This window comes from Homo sapiens, chromosome 5 (assembly GCF_000001405.40).
Source record: "Homo sapiens chromosome 5, GRCh38.p14 Primary Assembly".
In the NCBI taxonomy this organism is placed as follows: Eukaryota; Metazoa; Chordata; class Mammalia; order Primates; family Hominidae; genus Homo; species Homo sapiens.
In genome coordinates this window covers 171,680,474-171,699,692 of record NC_000005.10, presented here as the reverse complement: position 1 = coordinate 171,699,692, position 19,219 = coordinate 171,680,474, and the positions used below count along the sequence as shown (strand labels likewise).

Below are 19,219 nucleotides of genomic sequence, written 5' to 3'. Positions count from 1 at the left end.
GTCCCAACTTAGGGAGGGGGTGCTTCTAGCATCTAGAGGGTAGAGGTCAGGGATGCCATTAGCACAGGACAGCCCCCAAAACAAAGAATTCTATAGCCCCAAATGTCACTAGTGAGGAGATTGAGAAGTCCTGCTTTAGAAGAAAAGCAGTCAGATCAAGCCTCATGTTCACAAAAACAACCTAAGTCACTTGTCTTAAATACTTTTTAAAAAAACAGAACAATGAATACCAAATATGCAGTATACTTGCTTAGAATGCTAAAGCCATGACCCACCAAACTTCATCCATGACTAAAACAAAATGAGAACCAGCGAGGGACGTAAGTGAGAGAGAGAGACTTAAGCTAGAACAGAGGCTTCTTGAAGGCATGGATTATGTTATATTAATTTTGCATCTCCTGTGTGCACAGCACAGTTCTCAGCATCCAGCAGGTGCTTAATAAATGCATGTCGTGTGTCTGATGGAATGAATAGAGCCTCTTGGTAGATAATGTCACACTAAATTGCATCAGCCACTGAATTGCTGAATGTTCTATACTGTGTTCAGCTCTACAACCATATCCCAGATTGCCATTGATGGGAACCTCACTCCCTCACAAAGTCCATTCTATTTTTGGACCACTGTAAACGTTGGAAAGGGCAATGGCGTCTAATCGTGGTCTGGAGCCCCTTTTCATGGGAAGGGGCTAATAGCTGTTGAATGACCACTGGTCAGGGGAATGGTACGGCCAGGGTTTTACGGTGTTTTAAAGGGTCCCGGTCTGCGTCTTGGTCACCTCTCAACCCCCAGGGCATTTCCTGGGCCTCACAGATAGGAGCTTGCTCCCCGCTTACTCCAAAACAGAGTGTTCCTCATTGGAGGCCACTTCCTGTCTTGGTATCCAAAATGTTCTCCCACCAGGGAAGCCCCTGCCCTGTGCTGGGCCTCTCCTTCCCACAGAATCTCAGAGGGCTTCACAGAAGGCTGAGCTCTGCCACCTCCAGGATTTCTGGAGGTCAGAGCCTCAGCAGAAAAGGTGAGGCGGTAGATTTCGAAGCCGGATGGCTCTGAGGGCCAGCCCCAACTCTGTCACCATGTGGCTGTGAGGCCGTCGGGTTTCAGTTTTCTCATCCCTAAAATGGGGAAATGATGCCTTCCTCCCAGGTCACATCCGGGGAACGTGATTATAATAAGAATACCAGCTGCGACTTCTTGAATGCTTGGCCTACAGTTGATTTGCACACATTCTTTTCCATGTTTCCATGAATGCGATGTTTTCTTAGCCCTACTTTACTTGCAGAAACTGAGGCCTGGGAAAAAGTGACTTGCTCAAGATCTCACTGTCAGGAAGGGGTAGAGATGAGCCCACACTCAGGACTAACTGGTCTGAGTTTAGGTTTCTTTGCCATTCTATGCCAATGCTGTCTATGCCTAATCCCTTCATTCCTCTTTCCCCTCTCCAGTGCACCCTTCAAAATGGTCTCGGCTTGCTCTTCGATGATGTCCTTAACCTGGTCTCTGTCTCAAAATCTCCTCTAAGCTCTGAGAGGCCACGACCCCACCTTTCCTGAGATCAACACTCTCCCCAGCTCCTCCTCCTTCAGGCACAAGGGAGGTGCTCGGTGACATTTGCTTCCTTGGAAAAGGATGGAAGGGTTGCATCTTGCCCCTCTTTGTCTCTCTTCACACACACACAGCCATGCACACAGTTGTACAAGCATGTGTGTATTGTGCACACATTGTACCCATTCACACACACGTACAGACACACTCACATTCCCCACACAGACACACATGCCCTCACACGTGGATACACACACACTCACAGACTAGACATGCAGTGAACACATACTTGCCACACACACACACTCTCACAGGCTGTACACATGCTTACACATATTCACCGTTTACACATTCACGCACAGACACACACACGCCACATGCACTCACACTGCCATATGCTCATACACTTACACACTCTTATACACTCCCACACACTCTGCCCCGGGGACTGTCTCCTGAGTGAGAGGGGGTCCCAGGTGGGGCCCGACTGCTTGTTCTCAGCCCCTCATAAGCCTGCCTGGGGAGTGAGGCCTCACTTAGAGGCACCATTGTCAACAGGCACGCTTTCTACCAAGATTGTTTTTAAGCATGGACTTTCCAAATGCATTCAATTTCCATCCATGGGTTGAAAGCAAGCCGTTTTGTACACGTCACATATATTTTTGCTCTGGGAAGCCCTGTTTCTGAAGCTGAGGCCACTACATGTGTGTGCCAGGGGGTAGGGCGAGGGACTGGAGCTGCAGAATGGCTTTTCCATGTGGGTAATTGTGGTCATCAGGAAAGCGTCTCGCAGCAGTTTATGCTTTCTCAGTTTACCAAAGCCCCGGCATCTGTTCTGAGACAGAGCTGCTGAGTTTAGGGCAAACCACGGCTCAGCCCATTCGTGTCAGCAAGCTACCTTTACCGACAAGATCTGAATCTGCAGACAAGAAAGGAAGAGAAGAGAAAAGTAAAGAAAGAAAAGACAAGAAAAGGGGCAGGGGGAGAGGAGGGGAAAGAGATGTTGACACATGCTCTGAAGTGGCCAAGGAATTCTGTTTACTTCTTGGTGATATTTCTGCCTTTTGTTGTGGCAAAGACCTGCCTTTTACTGCATTGTTGAAACATCTTCAAAATCTGGAAATCTAAGGGGCATTCCAATAAAAACCTTTGTTGGGCTGCAGTGGAGAGAACCCCAAATTCAAATCAGGTCTCAGCACTTGGCAGCAGCAGCGAGAACTGGGCAGCCTCAGCAAGAGAAGAGGGAGGAGGCCAGGAACTCCTGTCTCTGTGACAGAAGAGGGTACAGGACACTCGAGGTAGAGGTTCTTGCTAGCTGAAGGGTCCCTGAAAACACTGTGGGGCCACATGGAACCTGGATCAAACCCTAGCTCCACCACTAATTCAATGTGTTATCTTGGACCTGCCACTCTACCTCTCTCTGAGCCTCAGTTTTCACATCTGTAAAATCGGTGTGTGTCTGTGCATGTGTGTGTATGTAAGTAACCATCTATAAAGCTGGTGTATAGCTTAGAGACAAAGTGTGTAAAGTGCTTGGCACATGGGAGGTGTTAACAGATTTTAATTCCCCATCTCCTTGCTAACACAGAAAAATCTGGCTGTGCCTTAGGGCCCACCTTCTCCATTCCAAGCAGTGGTTGTCCCAATATTTCTAGGAATAGGTATCATCTGGCATCTCCTGTTCCCTCCACCTCCTAAGATGAAGGAAGGCAAGTCTGTGGGTCTCTCCGAGATAGGGGGCCAGTCCTGTGCCCATCTGTCTGGGCTAGAAGATGCCCACAGCAGGCTGATGTGGGCTGACACTGTATGGCCCACCCAGATGGGAATCAAGAATGGAAGCAACCAGTCTACAGGAGCAAGGGATGCCCTAGAAGGGAGGGCATCTCATTTTTGTCAAGTGAGTCTCTGTCATTCATAGGCATTGCTCATCCTTGTCCTGATCAGAGGTAGAGATGGCTCTTATGTGGGCCCCTCCAGTCCATCCAAGCTGAGCAGGGCAGCCTCCATGTCCACAGTAAACCTTGGACATCATTCAGTTTGAGCTGTTCGTTATGATGGCCCATGCTTATTAGGCAACTCATCCATCCATCTATCCGTCCATCCATCCATCCATCCATCCATCCACCCAGCCATCCACCCATCCATCCATCCACCATCCATCCATCTGCCCACTCATCCACCCATCCACCCATCATCCATCCATCCATCCATCCATCTACCCTTCCATCCATCCATCCATCCACACACTCATCCACTCATCCACCATCCATCCACCCACCCATCCACCCACCCACCCATCCATCTATCCATCCACCCTCCCATCCATCCATTTATCCATCTGGCCATGTTCCAGGCTTCATCCATGTGCTGGGCTTCAGAAATGGGGCTCAATAGGACAAACCTGGTGGGACAGACAGGCATGCAAACCCCAAGAGATGGCTCAGTGCTGGTGGAACCCAAGAAGGGACCTTGACCCAGTTTGACAGAGGCCGAACAGGGTGAGAGTGGGCCTGGCAGTCTTCTCAGAGTAGAACACCCTTAAACTGACCACTGTTGTCCAAGTCTCACGATGACATTATTAATTGCCTGGGCCTCGGGATTAAAAATTTCCCTTAAAACTGTGGCCAGGGCCTGGCTCATGAGACAATGTCTGTATGACTGGGGAGTCACTGTCAATGAGGGCAGGGGTGGGCAGTCCAGTGTTTGAGGGAGGCACACAACACTGAATGTCATCTGAGGAAGCCTTGCCACCTCAGAGACCTCATTTGGCTGGATGTCCAGGAACTGCTCCCTGTGCTGGGCACTGAGGGGCCAGGGTGGGCGAGGGCAAGTGCCCTCCCTTTCTCAAAGGAGAAAACAATGAATGATGTTCCAGGGGAGAAGTAGGGTGACTGGGGTCACAGAACTCAGATATCAGGCCCTGTGGTCAAGGAAGGCTTCTGAAGGAAATGATCTTCAAGCTGGAACCTGGGGGTGGAGTGGACATTAGTCAGGTGAGCAGCAACAGAGAGAAGGCTCGAGCAGAGGGAATAGCAGATTTGAAAAGACGACAGAAGCCCCACAGCAGAGGGGAGCTGAATGATTTTCACATGGCTGAAGCCGGGGAGTAAAGGAGCTGGAAAGAGAAGCAGGGGCCAGGTTGTTGGGGCTGAGGTCCTTGGGGCAGGGCTTGACACCAGGGCTGGTGCTCACTGGGCTCGCCTGATTTTCTGACCTACTCTACTCTGGATCCTTCTTGTCCATTCTCTGCTCTGCCCCAGGGTGAGGCTGCTAATTGCAAATGTGGCCGCCTTTTCCTTCTGCTTAAATCCTCTCTAGATCTCCATTACTCTCAGGTAAAATCCAAGCTCCTTACCATGGCTTTTGAGGGTCCCAGGGTGGTAAGAGGTGATGGAGTAAGCAGTCAAGACCTTCAGCTTGGCCGGGAGTGGTGGCGCATGCCTCTAATCCCAGCACTTTGGGAGGCCAAGGTGGGAAGATTGCCTGAGGCCAGGAGTTCAAGACTGGCCAGTGTGGGGAAACCCCATCTCTACTAAAAAATACAAAAATTAGCTGGGCATGGTGGCATATACCGGTAGTCCCAACTACTCAGGAGGCTGAGGCAGGAGAATCGCTTGAACCCAGAAGGCGGTGGTTGCAGTGAGCCAAGATTGCGCCACTGCACACAAAAAAAAGACCTTCAGCTGGAGGGCAGGTAGACTTGGGTTCCAGTCTCAGATGCCCTACTATTAGTTGACCTTGGAGAAAGAAACTGCTTTACCTTCCTGAGCCTCAGTTCCCTCGTCTGTAAAGAGGGCACAGGAAATGAGATGATGTCTGTGTTCCCCAAGAAGCTTCCAACAAGTGACAAATCTGTGGCCACTGACAACCTCACGAGCCTCATTGTCCTTCTCTTACCTACTCGTATGTTTCACAGCTAGCACCTGTAGATCCTGGAGTGCTTGCTACTATTTCCTGCCTCCCTGCCTTGGCTTATACAGTACCGTCTGCCTAGAACACCCTCTTTGTGACGACTGCCTCGACAGCCTACTCACCCTTCAAGACCCAGCTTGGAGGTCATTTCCTCTGAGGAGCCCTCTCTGATTTTCCTCCCCTTTGTTGCCCCAATCATCATAAAGGGCACCACTGAACTTTCCAAAGCCTGTCTCACCTCCATGCCTGAACACCTGCTAGTTCAGGGTCAGGTTCTCTTGCCTCTTGAACCTTAAGGGCCAGGCATGGAGTCAGACACCTGGCCAGTTTGACAGAGGAGAAAGCCCAGACTCACTCCACACATTTATTCTGACTTGATTCTGTTTGTATCTCTCTTTTCCAGGCTAGGAATGGGGATGGGCCACTCCTGAGTCAGGCATTTGCTTATGGGGTCTCTTCAGTTGTTTGAGTCCAGCCCAGGTCCCCCAGCAGGAGGCTGGTTCACTGCAAGACTAATCTGCTGCCTGCTGGTCATCTCCTTTTAAGACACAAAGACAGTGTGCATGCTGCAGCTTCAGGCTTCCTCCTGCTGGAACCTGGGCTGGCCTGTGCCTGTCTTGGCCGTGGGAAGCCCTGGCGCATTGTCACTCTTGTTTTGCCCTGCCCGAGTGATGATGGGCAGGCTCCAGCCTTCCATTACCTCATGCCCAGGAAACACCTCCTGGGTCATTGCCAGGCTCATGCACAGGGCAAGGCAGTTGCCTCTCCCACCAGTGCCCCCATACAGGGGCAATGAGGATGGGGGAGTATTCACCCCAGCTGGGCTTCTGCCCCAAGGCTGCAGGGAACAGGGGCCAGGGCTCAGGCCTGTGTTTAGGCTATACGAGGTCCTGGCTGGAAAAGATCTCAACCTGGCTGGAAAAGATCTCAAAACTTTCATTTTCATAAGAATATCCCAAATTCCCCACTGCCTACCATATGCCAGGCTCTGGGCTGAATGCTTTACATTGCTTTAATCTCACTTAACTTTACAACCCTACGAAGTAGAGACAGTTACTATCCTCATTCCCATTTTACAGATGAGGAAACTGCAGCTCAGAGAGGTTAAGTAACATGCCCGAGGTAACACAGCCAGCAGTGCTGGAATTTGAATGAGACAACTGAACTTAATGGGCTTAATGCTCTGTGTTATATACGGAGAAGCTGAGGCCAGAGGGGGGAGAAGTCCAGGTCTTTTCCTGCTTTACTTCGTTGTTGAAGAAAATCCACAAAAATCTTTGCCTTTTGTTTGTTTGACTGTGGGGTCACCCAGACCTGGGTTCAATCCCAGCTGAGTGACCTTAACCAGGCAACTCCAGCTGTCTGAGTGTCAGTTTCCTCCTAGGTGAAATGGGACTACCATGCCCTCCCCTGTGCAGCTGTGAGGGGTTCTAAGTGAAAAGGGGCTGGACACAGGGTCTGGCAGGGATGAGTGAGCAAAGCCTGTAGGGGATCAGTTCCCGTGATTATTACTATGGCTCCATCAGCTTCTGTAAGGTGTTTATGGCTCCAACAGTAAGAGCCTTAGAGTGACAGAGACTAAGACCCAGCAATGCAGGGCAAAAGATAAAAAAGAATGGGAGGAGAGGAGAGAAGTTACACCACGAGGCCTAGAGAAGATAGTCGCTCTCTCCTTCACCTGCTTCTCCTGCAGTGTAGTTAAGCAGGGGCCTCTGGAGCCAGAATGCTTAGGCTCCGATCTTAGCACTACCACTTACTATTAAGAGTTCTTGGACTTTGGGAACAGTATTTGGTCTCTGTGTTCCCATCTGCAAAGTGGGACAAATAGCAGTGACTATCCCATAGGCTCATGGTTGTGAGGGTTAACTGGGCCAAGGCAAGAAGCACAGTGCCTGGCTTAGAATACGGGTATTATTGCTGAATCAGCACACACTTGCTGAGCACCTGCTCTGGGTCAGGGCCTGGGGAATCATGTGCCACCTCTGTGATGACGTATGTCCTTAAACACTTCACAATATAGTGTGGAGACAGATAAGGCAGCACCCAGCTGTATGAGGAGTTGTGGAAACTATGAAAATTAAACCTGGAGTATAGCTCTGAGCTTCCTAATGGCCAGGCCAGAGAGAAACAGATTATGTGGTTTTCATTGTCTAGAAGTACATGAGACAGACAATTATTTTTCTGGGCCCCCAATTCCCTTTGTACTTATGGAGAGAAAGGGGATGCAGATAGGTTAAGCCACTCAAGCAAGGTCACACAGCTAATAAGCTAGCAAACACTAGCTAGGTCTTGATGTGCCCCCTTCCCAAGCCTGAGGCCTCTCTGCTGTTTAAGATGGCTGATCACAGGATACCATGTCACCATGCATGGCTGGCCTACGTGCATCTGCATGGGAGCAACCTTCCATCCCCGGACCCATATGTTGGCAAGTGTGCAGTAGCCAGGGATGTTGGATCTGAACTTTCTGGTGAGCAGACCCTTTGCAGCCACATGAAGGTGAAAACAGACAGTCTGTGAACCATTTCTGCTACATTAGAGAGGAGGCAGTGCGATGAAAAACGGAACTTCCAATAGGTTTGAGCCATAGAAAACTGCTGCTATTTGACCATTTTTGCCTACAAAAATGACAATATCACATGGTTCAACCTAATAATATTCACTTAATATCATGTTTTAAAATCCTAAAATAGATTCACTTGTTGACTTTGATCTCTTCCTATGAAATAACGTCCAAAAATTCATGGGGTCGACGTGCTAGTTATATTGTTTTCCTGAGTGGATACATACCTACTACCATTTCATAGACAGTCCATCCATGCGCCTCTTGAAGTCATCTATTACAGGCAATGGTTTGAGAGGACACCAAGGAGGGCAGTAGGGCGTGGGCCTAAGGCTGGACCTCCTGAGTTACAGCTGGGGCCACTGCCTGCTTGGTGTGCTCACCTCACCTGATGGTTAATTCTATGTATCCACTTGGCTAGGCCATAGTGCCCAGATGTTTGGTGAAACATTATTCTGGATGTCTCTGTGGGGGTGTTTTTGGGCAAGATTAACATTTACATGGATGGACTTTAAGTAAAGTAGATTGACCTTCTGATAGTGGGTGGCCTCATCCACTCGGCTGAAGACCTGAATTGAACAGAAAGCCTGACCTCCCTCAGCAAGAACGAGTTCTGCAGCAGATGGCCTTCTGACTCAAACCGCAACATTCACTCCTCCCTGGGTCTCCAGCCTGCCAGGCCCACCCTGCAGATTTTACTTGCCACGCTCCGAAATTGCACAAGCCAGATCTTTAAAGTAAATCTCTATCTATCTATCTATCTATCTATCTATCTATCTATCCATCTATCATCACCTATCTATATCTATCTATCATTTCTATCATCTATCTACTGTATCTATCTATGTATCTATCATCTCTCTACTCTATCATCTATCTCTATCTACTATCTATCTATCTATCTATCTATCTATCTATCTATCTATCATCTATATCTATCATCACCTATATATATCTATCTATCATCTTTATCTATCTATCATCTATATCTATCATCTATCTACTGTATCTATCTATGTATCTATCATCTATCTACTCTATCTATCTATCATCTATCTACTATCTATCATCTATATTTATCTATCTATCATTATCTATCTGTATCTATCTATCATCTCTATCATCTCTACCTATCATATCTATCTATCTATCATCTATCTACTGTATCTATCATCACCTATCTATATCTATCATCTCTATCATCTATCTACTGTATCTATCTATGTATCTATCATCTCTCTATCATCTATATCTACCTATCTATCATCTATATCTATCATCTCTATCTATCATCACCTATCTATATCTATCTATCATCTCTATCATCTATCTACTGTATCTATCTATGTATCTATCATCTATCTACTCTATCATCTATCTACTATCTATCAATCATCTATATCTATCATCATCTCATCTATCATCTATCTACTGTATCTATCTATCTGTCTATCATCTATCTACTCTATCTATCATATCTATCTATCATCACCTATCTATATCTATCATCTCTATCTATCATCTATCTACTGTATCTATATATCTATCATCTCTATATCTATCATCTATCTCTATCTACTATCTATCTATCTATCATCTCTATCTATCTATGTATCTATCTATCTATCATCACCTATCTATATCTGTCTATCATCTATATCTATCATCTCTATCATCTATCTACTGTATCTATCTATGTACCTATCATCTATCTACTCTGTCTATCTATCTATCTATCATCTATCTACTATCTATCAATCATCTATATTTATCTATCATCATCTATCTCTGTCATCTGTATCTGTCATTTCTATCTACCTATCATCTATCTATATCTATCTATCTATCATCTATCTACTGTATCTATCTATCTGTCTGTCTATCATCTATCTACTCTATCATATCTATCTATCTATCATATATAGTACATGTGTATCTATATGGACATTTAGATATATGTAAACATTCTATTGGTTCTGTTTCTCTGGAGAACCCAGACTAGTTCTCCTCTTCTGGGCCATGGCGTTGCTATTAACTTGGCTGTGCTGAGGAATAGATGAGATGACACGCCTAGTGAGTGCTGAGTAAATGTTGTCTATTGCTGGTACCATCGTTATTAATGTTACTGATATTAGATGGGGGAGCATCTTCTGATCCCTGCCACGTGCCCTGACCTCCCTCATACACTCATCGTTTCCCCAGAAGGTGCCTGTCCTTAGGGGGCATTTCCTCCTAGGGGCCTGGGCTCTGCCTTCCAGCCCCACATCCCCTATGCACGCACCATATGCCCAGGCTCTGGCTGGTTGGTTTGAGAGTCTGGGAGGCTGAGAGCCTTCATGGAAACAAGTGCTGGCTTGGTGCCAGCAGGGCTGTTGTGGGGATTAAATGCAATGCGGCCTGAGCAGCCTTTGCCGCATGGTACTCGGACGCAAGGCTTGTTTCTCCACTTTGTGTCATGTGAAATCTGACTCAGGATATTCAGTCTCAATGCTTTAGGGGTGGGGAGTGGGGAGGCTTCCTTTCCCTAAACTTGTAAAAGAATTCCAGGAACCTCATTCAGACTGAAAATGAGAGCCAGTCATCTGATCTTCTTGGGCCACGGTTTCTTGGAAGGCAAGGAGTCCTCTGCTTGTGGCATCCACTCCTCAGTGCCCATCTGGGCCATGAAGTCTTCACTGGGCTTCTGAGGCCCAAGGGAGGCAAGGCTGACTTCCCAAGTGTCCAGCCTATGCCACTGCCCCAGGCGCCATGCTCAGAAGGGCCTCACTCTTGGTTTCATTCTCTCTGCCACCATCCTGAAATTCAGAACAACTTTTGAACAAAGGACCCACAGTTGCATTATACGCTGGGCTCTGGAAATTATGAGGCCAGTCCTTCTCCAGGAGTCCAACAATGTGTCATTATCCTCGGAGGTTCCACCCTCCCAGGGCCTTCACGGGGGTGGGAGGCCTGTTGGCTGCAAGTGGGGCCATCTCCCCCAACCACACGCTCACTCTTAGAAATCTCACCCCTTTTTCATCCCGTGGAAACAGCCCCTTTTAGGCAAGCCAGTTATTTGTGTCTCTGAACCTAAGATTTTGAAAGTACAGGCCCTTACTCCCCCATGGGACAAGGAAACCTTGGTACTCCAAGACATAAAGCCTTCCTTTCCTTCTCGAAAAAGAAAAGGAGGAAATCCTCTTACTCTTTCAAGGCGAGACCTCTTGAATACTTCACACAGCTCATCCCTCCATCAGAGAATATCTCCCTCAGCGCTAGATAAATGGTAGGTCCCTTCCCTACCTGGCTCTACACCCTGAAGTTGGGCATTATTGCTTCCATTTCCAAGATGAGTAGACTAAGATCCAGAGAGATTCAGAGTCTTGCCAATGATCAGAGAACCTCCCATCTTCCTACTCTTCTCAGAGTTTCTGTAGACCTGGCCAGAGAAGTGAGGAAATGAGAGCATGCGTGGGTAAAGGTACTGTTTATATAATTTTCGCTCCTCTAAAAAGTCCTGGATCAGTTTATAACTCAGAGAAATTGCAACTATTCCCCATTATGGCAGGCGTGTCTTAAGAGTTAGCTCTTAAGATATGTCTTAAGAGAATGTTAACTCTCTGTGCTGGGATTACAGGCGTGAGCCACTGTGCCTGGCTGACATGTCTTAGGAGTTAACATTCGTATCTCTTTTATTCCTCACGGCAGCTCTATCAAGTATTGTCTTAAGGCTTCTTTTTACCAGATGGGAAAACTGAGGTTCGAAGAAGTTGAAAACCACGCCCAAGGTCACAGAGAGCTAGAGAATTTGGAGCTGGGCAGGTAGTGTCAGCTGCAGCCCAAGGTGGAAACCTAAACCTACTCTTGATAGCTGGGAAACTCTGAAATGCTGCCCCATCCAAGCCACGTCATGCTCTGCAGTGGAGAAGGTCTAGGCGGGAGACGCAGAGGTGCTCAGAGGATGGTTTCAATTTTCAAGCCGTGGTCTGACCACTCACGTTTTTGAAAATTAAAAATTAAATCTTGGCCCTGAACCGAGAGCAAAGAAGCAGTATTCTGCTCTTGGAGCCCTGCCTGCTCACCCTCGTGAATTGGGGGTTCTATATCGTGAGGGAAATGGCTATTTCAGCTGCCAAAGAGTAGATCACACTCCCTGCAGCCCTCGAACCCAAGAGTTATTGCTGTGGGTAGAGAGCTGGGCGGCTTTGCCCCAGCGATGATGAATTGGGAAAGACCTTGACGTTTCAGGGTCTTCCAGAAACACTATCCAGGCGCAGGAAGGAGCTGTGTGCTTGAGGAGGGTTTGCCAGGGGACAATGAGTTCAGGATTCTGAGGACAAAGCTTATTCAGATGAGAGCTGTGGGAGTGGCCAGGGTGCCACTGGGAAGTGTGGGTCCCTGAGATAGTCTCCCACGGGAACCTCTGGGTCTTCCTTGCCCTTTCTTCTTCCTCTCCCTGACTGCGTCATGGAAAGGCCGACATTTGTTTCTGAATAGCCCTTACCTCTGTTCTCCCGTCAGCACGCTCAGTCCTCGTCCTGCCTGGATGGCTGTCATTGCCCCTTTGTGGGACCCCCTGCCTCTGTCTTGCCCGCTCCACACTGGTCAACCCCACCACACTTGGAGGTGCAAAACCCTCAGGGGTCCCTACTGTGTAAGCCTGACACACTGAAGGACTTGACTGTCCTTCACACTGACACACTGAAGGACTCTCCAGCTTTGTTTTCTGCCACCTGTCCTCCTGATCCAGTCATGCCAAGCCACAGAGGCTCCCCAAATACGCCATGATCTTTCCCACCTCTAGGCCTTTGCATCTTCCACTCCTCTGCTGGGGACACCCTGCCTCCTTTGTCTGTCCCCCTCCCACCCTGCCCACTTCACCAAGTTGAAGCTCCCTGAGGGCAGGAACCAGTAGACCTGGATTCCATGTCCCAGCTTTCCATGTTTGTCAAATTAAAATGAAATGAAAATAAATTTGCATATGCATCTCGGGACTCCAGTCCAGCTCTCATGGAGTTTGAAGCCCAGAAACAGAAGATGAAGAGGAGGAAAATTCTTTTATTAGAGCTCCTCTCTGAAACCAGAATCTGATTGATCTTTTTATTGTTCAGTAAGTATTTCTTGAGCATGTACTGTGTTCCAGGTTTAGCGTGGGGCTCTGGGCTAGATATTGTGTTGTTGGATACTATTATATAGGTGCATAGAGACACAGCTTCCTGGAGGGCAAAAGCGAAAAGGGAGAATCACAAGTCAGTGAGCAATTAGATGTGCGAATGAATAAATGTTGCAAACTGCCTAAGGGCACCAGTCGGAAAAACCAGGAGCAACAAGTAGAGGGTTGGGGGTGCCTCGGACGATGTGGTGAGAGGTTTCTGGGAAAGGGAGGCATTTGTTTTTTTTTTGAGATGGAGTCTCACTCTGTCGCCCAGGCTGGAGTGCAATGGCGTGATCTCTGCTCACTGCAACCTCCGCCTCCCAGATTCAAGCAATTCTCCTGCCTCAGCCTCCTGAGTAGCTGGGATTACAGGCGCGTACCACCACGCCCGGCTAATTTTTGTATTTTTTATTAGAAACAGGGTTTCACCATGTTGTTCAGGCTGGTCTTGAACCCCTGACCTCGTGATCCGCCTGCCTCGGCCTCCCAAAGTGCTGTAAGTAGAAGTCTGGAGGCCTTAGGGAAGAGGTGTCCAGGCAGAGGGGAAAGCATGGGCAAAGGCAGGAGGTAGGAAAGTGCTTGGTGGTTTTGAAGGACAGAAAGGAGGCCAGTGTGGCTGGAGTAACATGAGGGAGGAGGAGTGGGGCCGGTGCAGGAGGCAACCTCAGGCCTGTTCTCTCAGCCTCCTCTGAGCTCAGGGCCCTTCTCACTATGGAAGACTTGGGACGTGGAACAAAAAATGAGGCTCTTTTCTGGAAGTATATACTGCCCACTCCCTCTCAATCTTCCTCCCCGTCTAAGAGGTTTCCACTCTGTCAGCGAAACAGATAGGGCCTGTGCAGGAGGAGGGGGAGGCCAAGCCCAGGGGAGAGCTCATTCTCCAGGGCCCAGAAAGACCAAGAGGGTCCCCAGACTTGGCCTTGGAGAAGCCAAGTTCATGAAATGACATCTTTGGGAGAAACCCAGGCAGATGGCAGTGCTGGGGAACAACTGCAAAGGAATGCCTTAACTCCCCCACGGGTGCTGGGCGGCAAGGAGAGGAGGCTCTCCTGACCTCCACTGTGCCTGGGGCGGCAGTCTAGCCCAGCGGTTAACAACCTGAACTCTGGAGCCCTGCTGCCTGGGTTTGAACATCATTTCAGCATATAACAACTGGTGATCTTGGATAACATGACCATCTTTAACCTCCCCTTCCTGAACTACACATAGAGGGGAAAACAGTACATAGGGTCATCATCAGATTAAATGAGTTAATGAATGCCAAGCACCTGGAATAGTGCCTGGCACTTAGTAACAATGTAGTAGGCTTCCGCTAATATTGCTATGATTCTTCTTTTTTTTTTTTTTTTTTTTTTTTTTTTTTGAGATGGAGTCTCACTCTGTTGCCAAGGCTGGAGTGCAGTGGTGTGATCTCTGCTCACTGCAACTTCCGCCTCCTGGGTTCAAGTGGTTCTCCTGTCTCAGCCTCCGGAGTAGCTGGGATTACAGGCGCCCATGACCACGCCTGGCTAATTTTTGTGTTTTTAGTAGATACGGGGTTTCACCATTGTTGGCCAGGCTGGTCTTGATCTCCTGACCTCAGGTGTTCCTCTCGCCTCGACCTCCCAAAGTGCTGGGATTACAGGCATGAGCCACCGTGCCCGACCTGTTATGATTCTTACTAACCACCAGGCCTCAGATGTCTGGAAACTGCCCATCAGCTGTCAGCAGAGAGTAATGTGTATAAAGGCCACCAGCCTCAAAGCCCTTTTTAGAGAAACGTCTACATCATTTTGACGTGTATCCCAGGTGAATCTGGTTTGGTCTACTCAGCAGCTGGTTCCCCAGGGAAAATTCTCTCTGAGACTTTATTGGGTACAGGGACAGGTAGGCATGCCTATTTACCCCTTCCTTCCCTCGAGTGTTTCCACCCAGGGAAGCATAGGTGCCGTAATGGAAATCGGAGGTTTATATTCTCATTAAACGTGATGAGCAACCCGATCCTATTGGTGTACAACCTCGTTTCATCCAGCTATCAAGCTCCGGGCCTTCACAAAATCAAAACATTAAAATAGATAAATAAAAATCTGTTTAAAAGCACTTTTACTATTTGTTTTCCAACAGCAGTTTCTCTCCAATTTAAAATCATATGATTTGAGTGAAATATGACCCGTATGTCTCTGATTCATTTGCTGATTAGCTAATTTACGACTGTAAAAATGGCTTTGAAATGACAAAGTTTCACACAAAATCTCAGCACCATGATTATTTACATTTGGACATCAAATAGCTCTTGTGAAATATTCTGTGAAGTGACTGAGGGGCTTTTTGGATTAAAATTTTGTTTTCTTTTGAATTCACCATGGCTGCTGCTGTTTCTTTTTCTCCTCTTCTTCCTACTTCTTTTCTCCCCCATTTCCTTTCTTTTCTTCTTTTATTTTTTTATTTTTATTTTTTTCATAATAAATACTGAATGTATTTTTATTTTGTAGAATTCAGTAGAACTCGGGTCTTGAAAACCTACTTGACGTTTAGACTCAGCATGGTGAATGAAATTGCTCGTAAACCCACCCAAACAAGCGCATGTTCCCATCGTACCAAACACTGGTTTCCTAGAAAACTGGGTACACTTACCCAGTAGGGCAAACAGGAGGAGGTGGGCTTCAGGGGCTGCCAAGGTGGGAAGGACATTCTGAGCATGTTCAGCTTGGCATGTTCAGGCTGAAATTTAAAAAAGAAAAAGATACCTAAGATTTCAACACTGGGAATCGCGCAGTCTAGGGATGTTTTTTGGGGAGGGTATTTGAAGAGAAAAAAAAAAGCCTAGGGAAATTGGTTGAATGCTTTTAAGAGAAAATGTGTTTGTTCAAAAGTTAAAAGTTAAGGGATCCAAGGTCAAGGGTAGATTTTTGTCTCCGTGTTTATTTTTATCCTGGATTTTTCCCTCTCCCCACATTTGATTCTTTGCCAAGTGCCATGGAATTTTCTCTCCCTGAGCCCTCTCTCTGTGTTCTCCATCTCCCCCAAAGCAGTGTTTCTCTACATCTTCTAGGACCTGAACCATCAAACTCACCTCTTCCCACTGGTCTCCTGTCCCCACCCTCCACTGCACCCCCGGGGGAGCTTTCTAGAGTGGAGATTAGATATGTTCCTCTGATGCTTAAGATTGGTCCACAATAATGGTCTGTGTCTTTGAACACTTCCTCTATGTTGTCTCTCTGCTTATCATGGCTTTGCCTCAGTTTGCCCTCACCTCCATTCTGTGAAGTTGTCCTCCATCCTTCCTGTTTTGCAGATGGGGAAGCTGAGAATCAGATAGACTGAGTCACTCAGAGAGGCAGGGTCAGGCCAGGGGATCCAGTCCAGAGCCTCCGCCCTGAGCCTGAGGTGCTACCTCCCTAGGGTACCTGCAGGAGCAAGTCCAAACGCCTGCGTGGTCCACAGGTTTGAAGACCCTCACTGGGCCCCTCTCTGCCACACCTCACACTCCTCTCCCACACCCACCATAGCCTCCAGCTATGCCAAACTATGAGTTCACACGTCCACAGTCTGTTCTCTCTGGTAGGAAACACCCTCTCCTCGCAGCCCCAGCTCTGCCCAGCATGCTCTGTTCGTTCTCGGGACTAAGCTCCAGGGCTCCTCTTACGGAAGCCTCCCTCACCTGTGGAATGCCACTGTCTTTGCCCACTTGGCATCCTGCTTCCCCTTCTCCCCGTGACAGTGTCCTGATTTGCATGGGGCTGGCTCCCTTCAATTTCAGGACTGAGCAGAGGACCCAGACCTGGCCAATAGTCAATCAATGATTCCATCTTTATGGAGACTACAATGAGTGATTGAGAGAGTGGCATGTGACCTGAGCAAATTCACCAACACTCAAACCTGGGAATTTGGCTGAAATTAAGAGTAAACAGGGGCTCTCCTTTCAGAGGGGTTGCTAACCATGTTGACCTTGGAGGGTGCCTCTGGTGGACAACTTGCCTGTCAGAGAGTGGCGTCATCTTCAAAATAATGTCAGTGTGGCTGAAAGCACAGCTGAAGCAGGGGAGAGACTCCTGTTGACGTTCTTGAGTTCCTGGATAAAGCCATGCTTGAAGCCAGTTGCCCCGAACTTTTCAGAAACATGAGCCAATCAATCTCTGCCCCACCCCTGCCTTTTTCCTTCCTTAAACCAAGTTGAGTTGGAGTCCTGTCACTTGCCATCAGCAGTCATGAAAAACACACCATCCAGGTTCACACCTCCCTGCTCTGTGCCACCTCAGGACCTAGTGTCACTTCTATCATTTCTGGTATTCCCACCTAATTGCAATTTGTTCACTCATGTAACTCCGCTACTGGATCCCAAGCTTCTTGAGAACAAGGACAGTGACTTCTGTATCTCTGTTGTCTCGGTCAGGCTAAGAAGCAGCAAGTTGGTGTTAAAGTCATGGACATTGAAGTCAATCAGACCTGGGTTCAAATCCTGTCTCTGCCTCTTGCTGACTGTGAAGCCTCAGCCAAGTTCCTCACTCTACCTCCTTGAGTCTCAATTTCCTGAACGCTCATTCTAAAGGGGCATTATTAAGAATGAATGAGGTCATTTCCTCTGCCTTAGCTCAGTGCCTGGCTTCTGTGAGGCATTTCATAAGGGGTAACTGTGGTTATTATTACACGTTGGTCCCGTGGAGTCAGTCCTATGAGAATCACAGATCATGGCATGGCAGACCAAGGGTGGGGACGGTTCACACACAAGCATAGCCACAGTTACCCGAAGTGGTAGCAGCGTTGTTCCCAGATACTTGGAGACTCAGGGCTGGGAGGAGTTTAGGAGTGTGGGAGGAAGTGGGCAGCTCCTCTCAGCCCTGCCCCTGAGGCCATGGCAGTTCTCAGGGAGGGAGTGGGCATGGGTGTGTGAGCAGAGAAGGAAAATCCACCCTCCCAAGTTTTCTCCCCATGACCAGCCCCCATGCCCTCACTCCAGACTCAGAGCTGGGGTTCTTTGCTCTGGGGAGAAGTGCATTGTTAGGAGCTCAGGCGTCGGAGTCAGGCAGTCCTGAGTTATGACCTTGGCTCCCCAACTTCCTAGCTGTGTGTCTCTAGGCAAGATACCTACCTTCCCTGAACCTCTCTTTCCTCATATTCAAAATGAGCTTTTTAGAAGAAAAATGAGATCATGTAATTTAAGCTTTTAGACCAGTGCCAACAAATGGGAACTATTATTTTTAAGGATTAAAATAAAATCCATGAGGGATTTCAACTCCCTGCTGCCCTGGCACTGAGCTGGTCATCTGGAGGCAGCAGGGCCTTGGACTCCAGGATGGACACACTCGGCCCTCCCTCCAGGACACTGTGGTGGCTGAGGGTGTGCCCGACGTGGTCTCACTGCCTGCCTTGGAACTCTCACTTACTCTGCAAGTTACACAAATTCCTCATGCCTCAGTTGCCTCACTTATAAAACGGAGATAAAAACAGCTTCTACCTCATTGGGAGTTTTCAGGATTAAATGACCTAATGCATGCAATATACTTAGAACTGTGCCTAACACACGGCAAGTGCTTAATAAACATTAGCTATTAGTCATTTCTAGAGTAATTTAGTGACTGCTCATTGCATTAAGAGACCTCCATCTCAAAAGAAATGAAGGAAAATGTGCTTGTCCTCAGTAAACGTAGAGTCCAAATTGGGGCCATAGTGATAAATAACAATAATGATAGTGATGATAGTTACTGAGTTTTAAAGTGGAAGTGATTGACTTACTTTGATTTGGGGAGGAACAAAAGTCAAGGGAAGGTACCACGAGCTCCTGGAGCCACAGAACATGTGGACCCAGCACTTGGGAGAGTGCCCCCAGTGGGCATGCAGAGGTGGGCCCTCAGGGTACCACCTTCCCAGCCAGCCACAGGGGTGGGGCTGGGCGGGGTGGGGCTGAGGCTCAGTAGTGATTGGTCCAGGGATGGGCACATGACCCACTCAGGTCCCTTTGCTGAGATTTTTTCTTACTGGAGTTGGCGGAAAGAGCTGTCTTTTCCTCTCTTGTCTCAGCGCTGTGAGACCACACACAGGCTGGAGTTGCATGGGCCACGCATCCAGCTTCGTGGGGTGAGCTGACCCGATG

General features: G+C 48.0%; 2 annotated features.

Annotated features, from left to right (window-relative positions):
• Positions 376-876: an enhancer, noted in NCBI's record as "H3K27ac hESC enhancer chr5:171125821-171126321 (GRCh37/hg19 assembly coordinates)". NCBI's record gives its function as "activates a minimal SCP1, AML or CMV promoter by ChIP-STARR-seq in primed H9 embryonic stem cells {active_cell/tissue: H9 hESC(primed)}" and the evidence as "EXISTENCE:reporter gene assay evidence [ECO:0000049][PMID:30033119]".
• Positions 877-1,377: an enhancer, noted in NCBI's record as "H3K27ac hESC enhancer chr5:171125320-171125820 (GRCh37/hg19 assembly coordinates)". NCBI's record gives its function as "activates a minimal SCP1, AML or CMV promoter by ChIP-STARR-seq in primed H9 embryonic stem cells {active_cell/tissue: H9 hESC(primed)}" and the evidence as "EXISTENCE:reporter gene assay evidence [ECO:0000049][PMID:30033119]".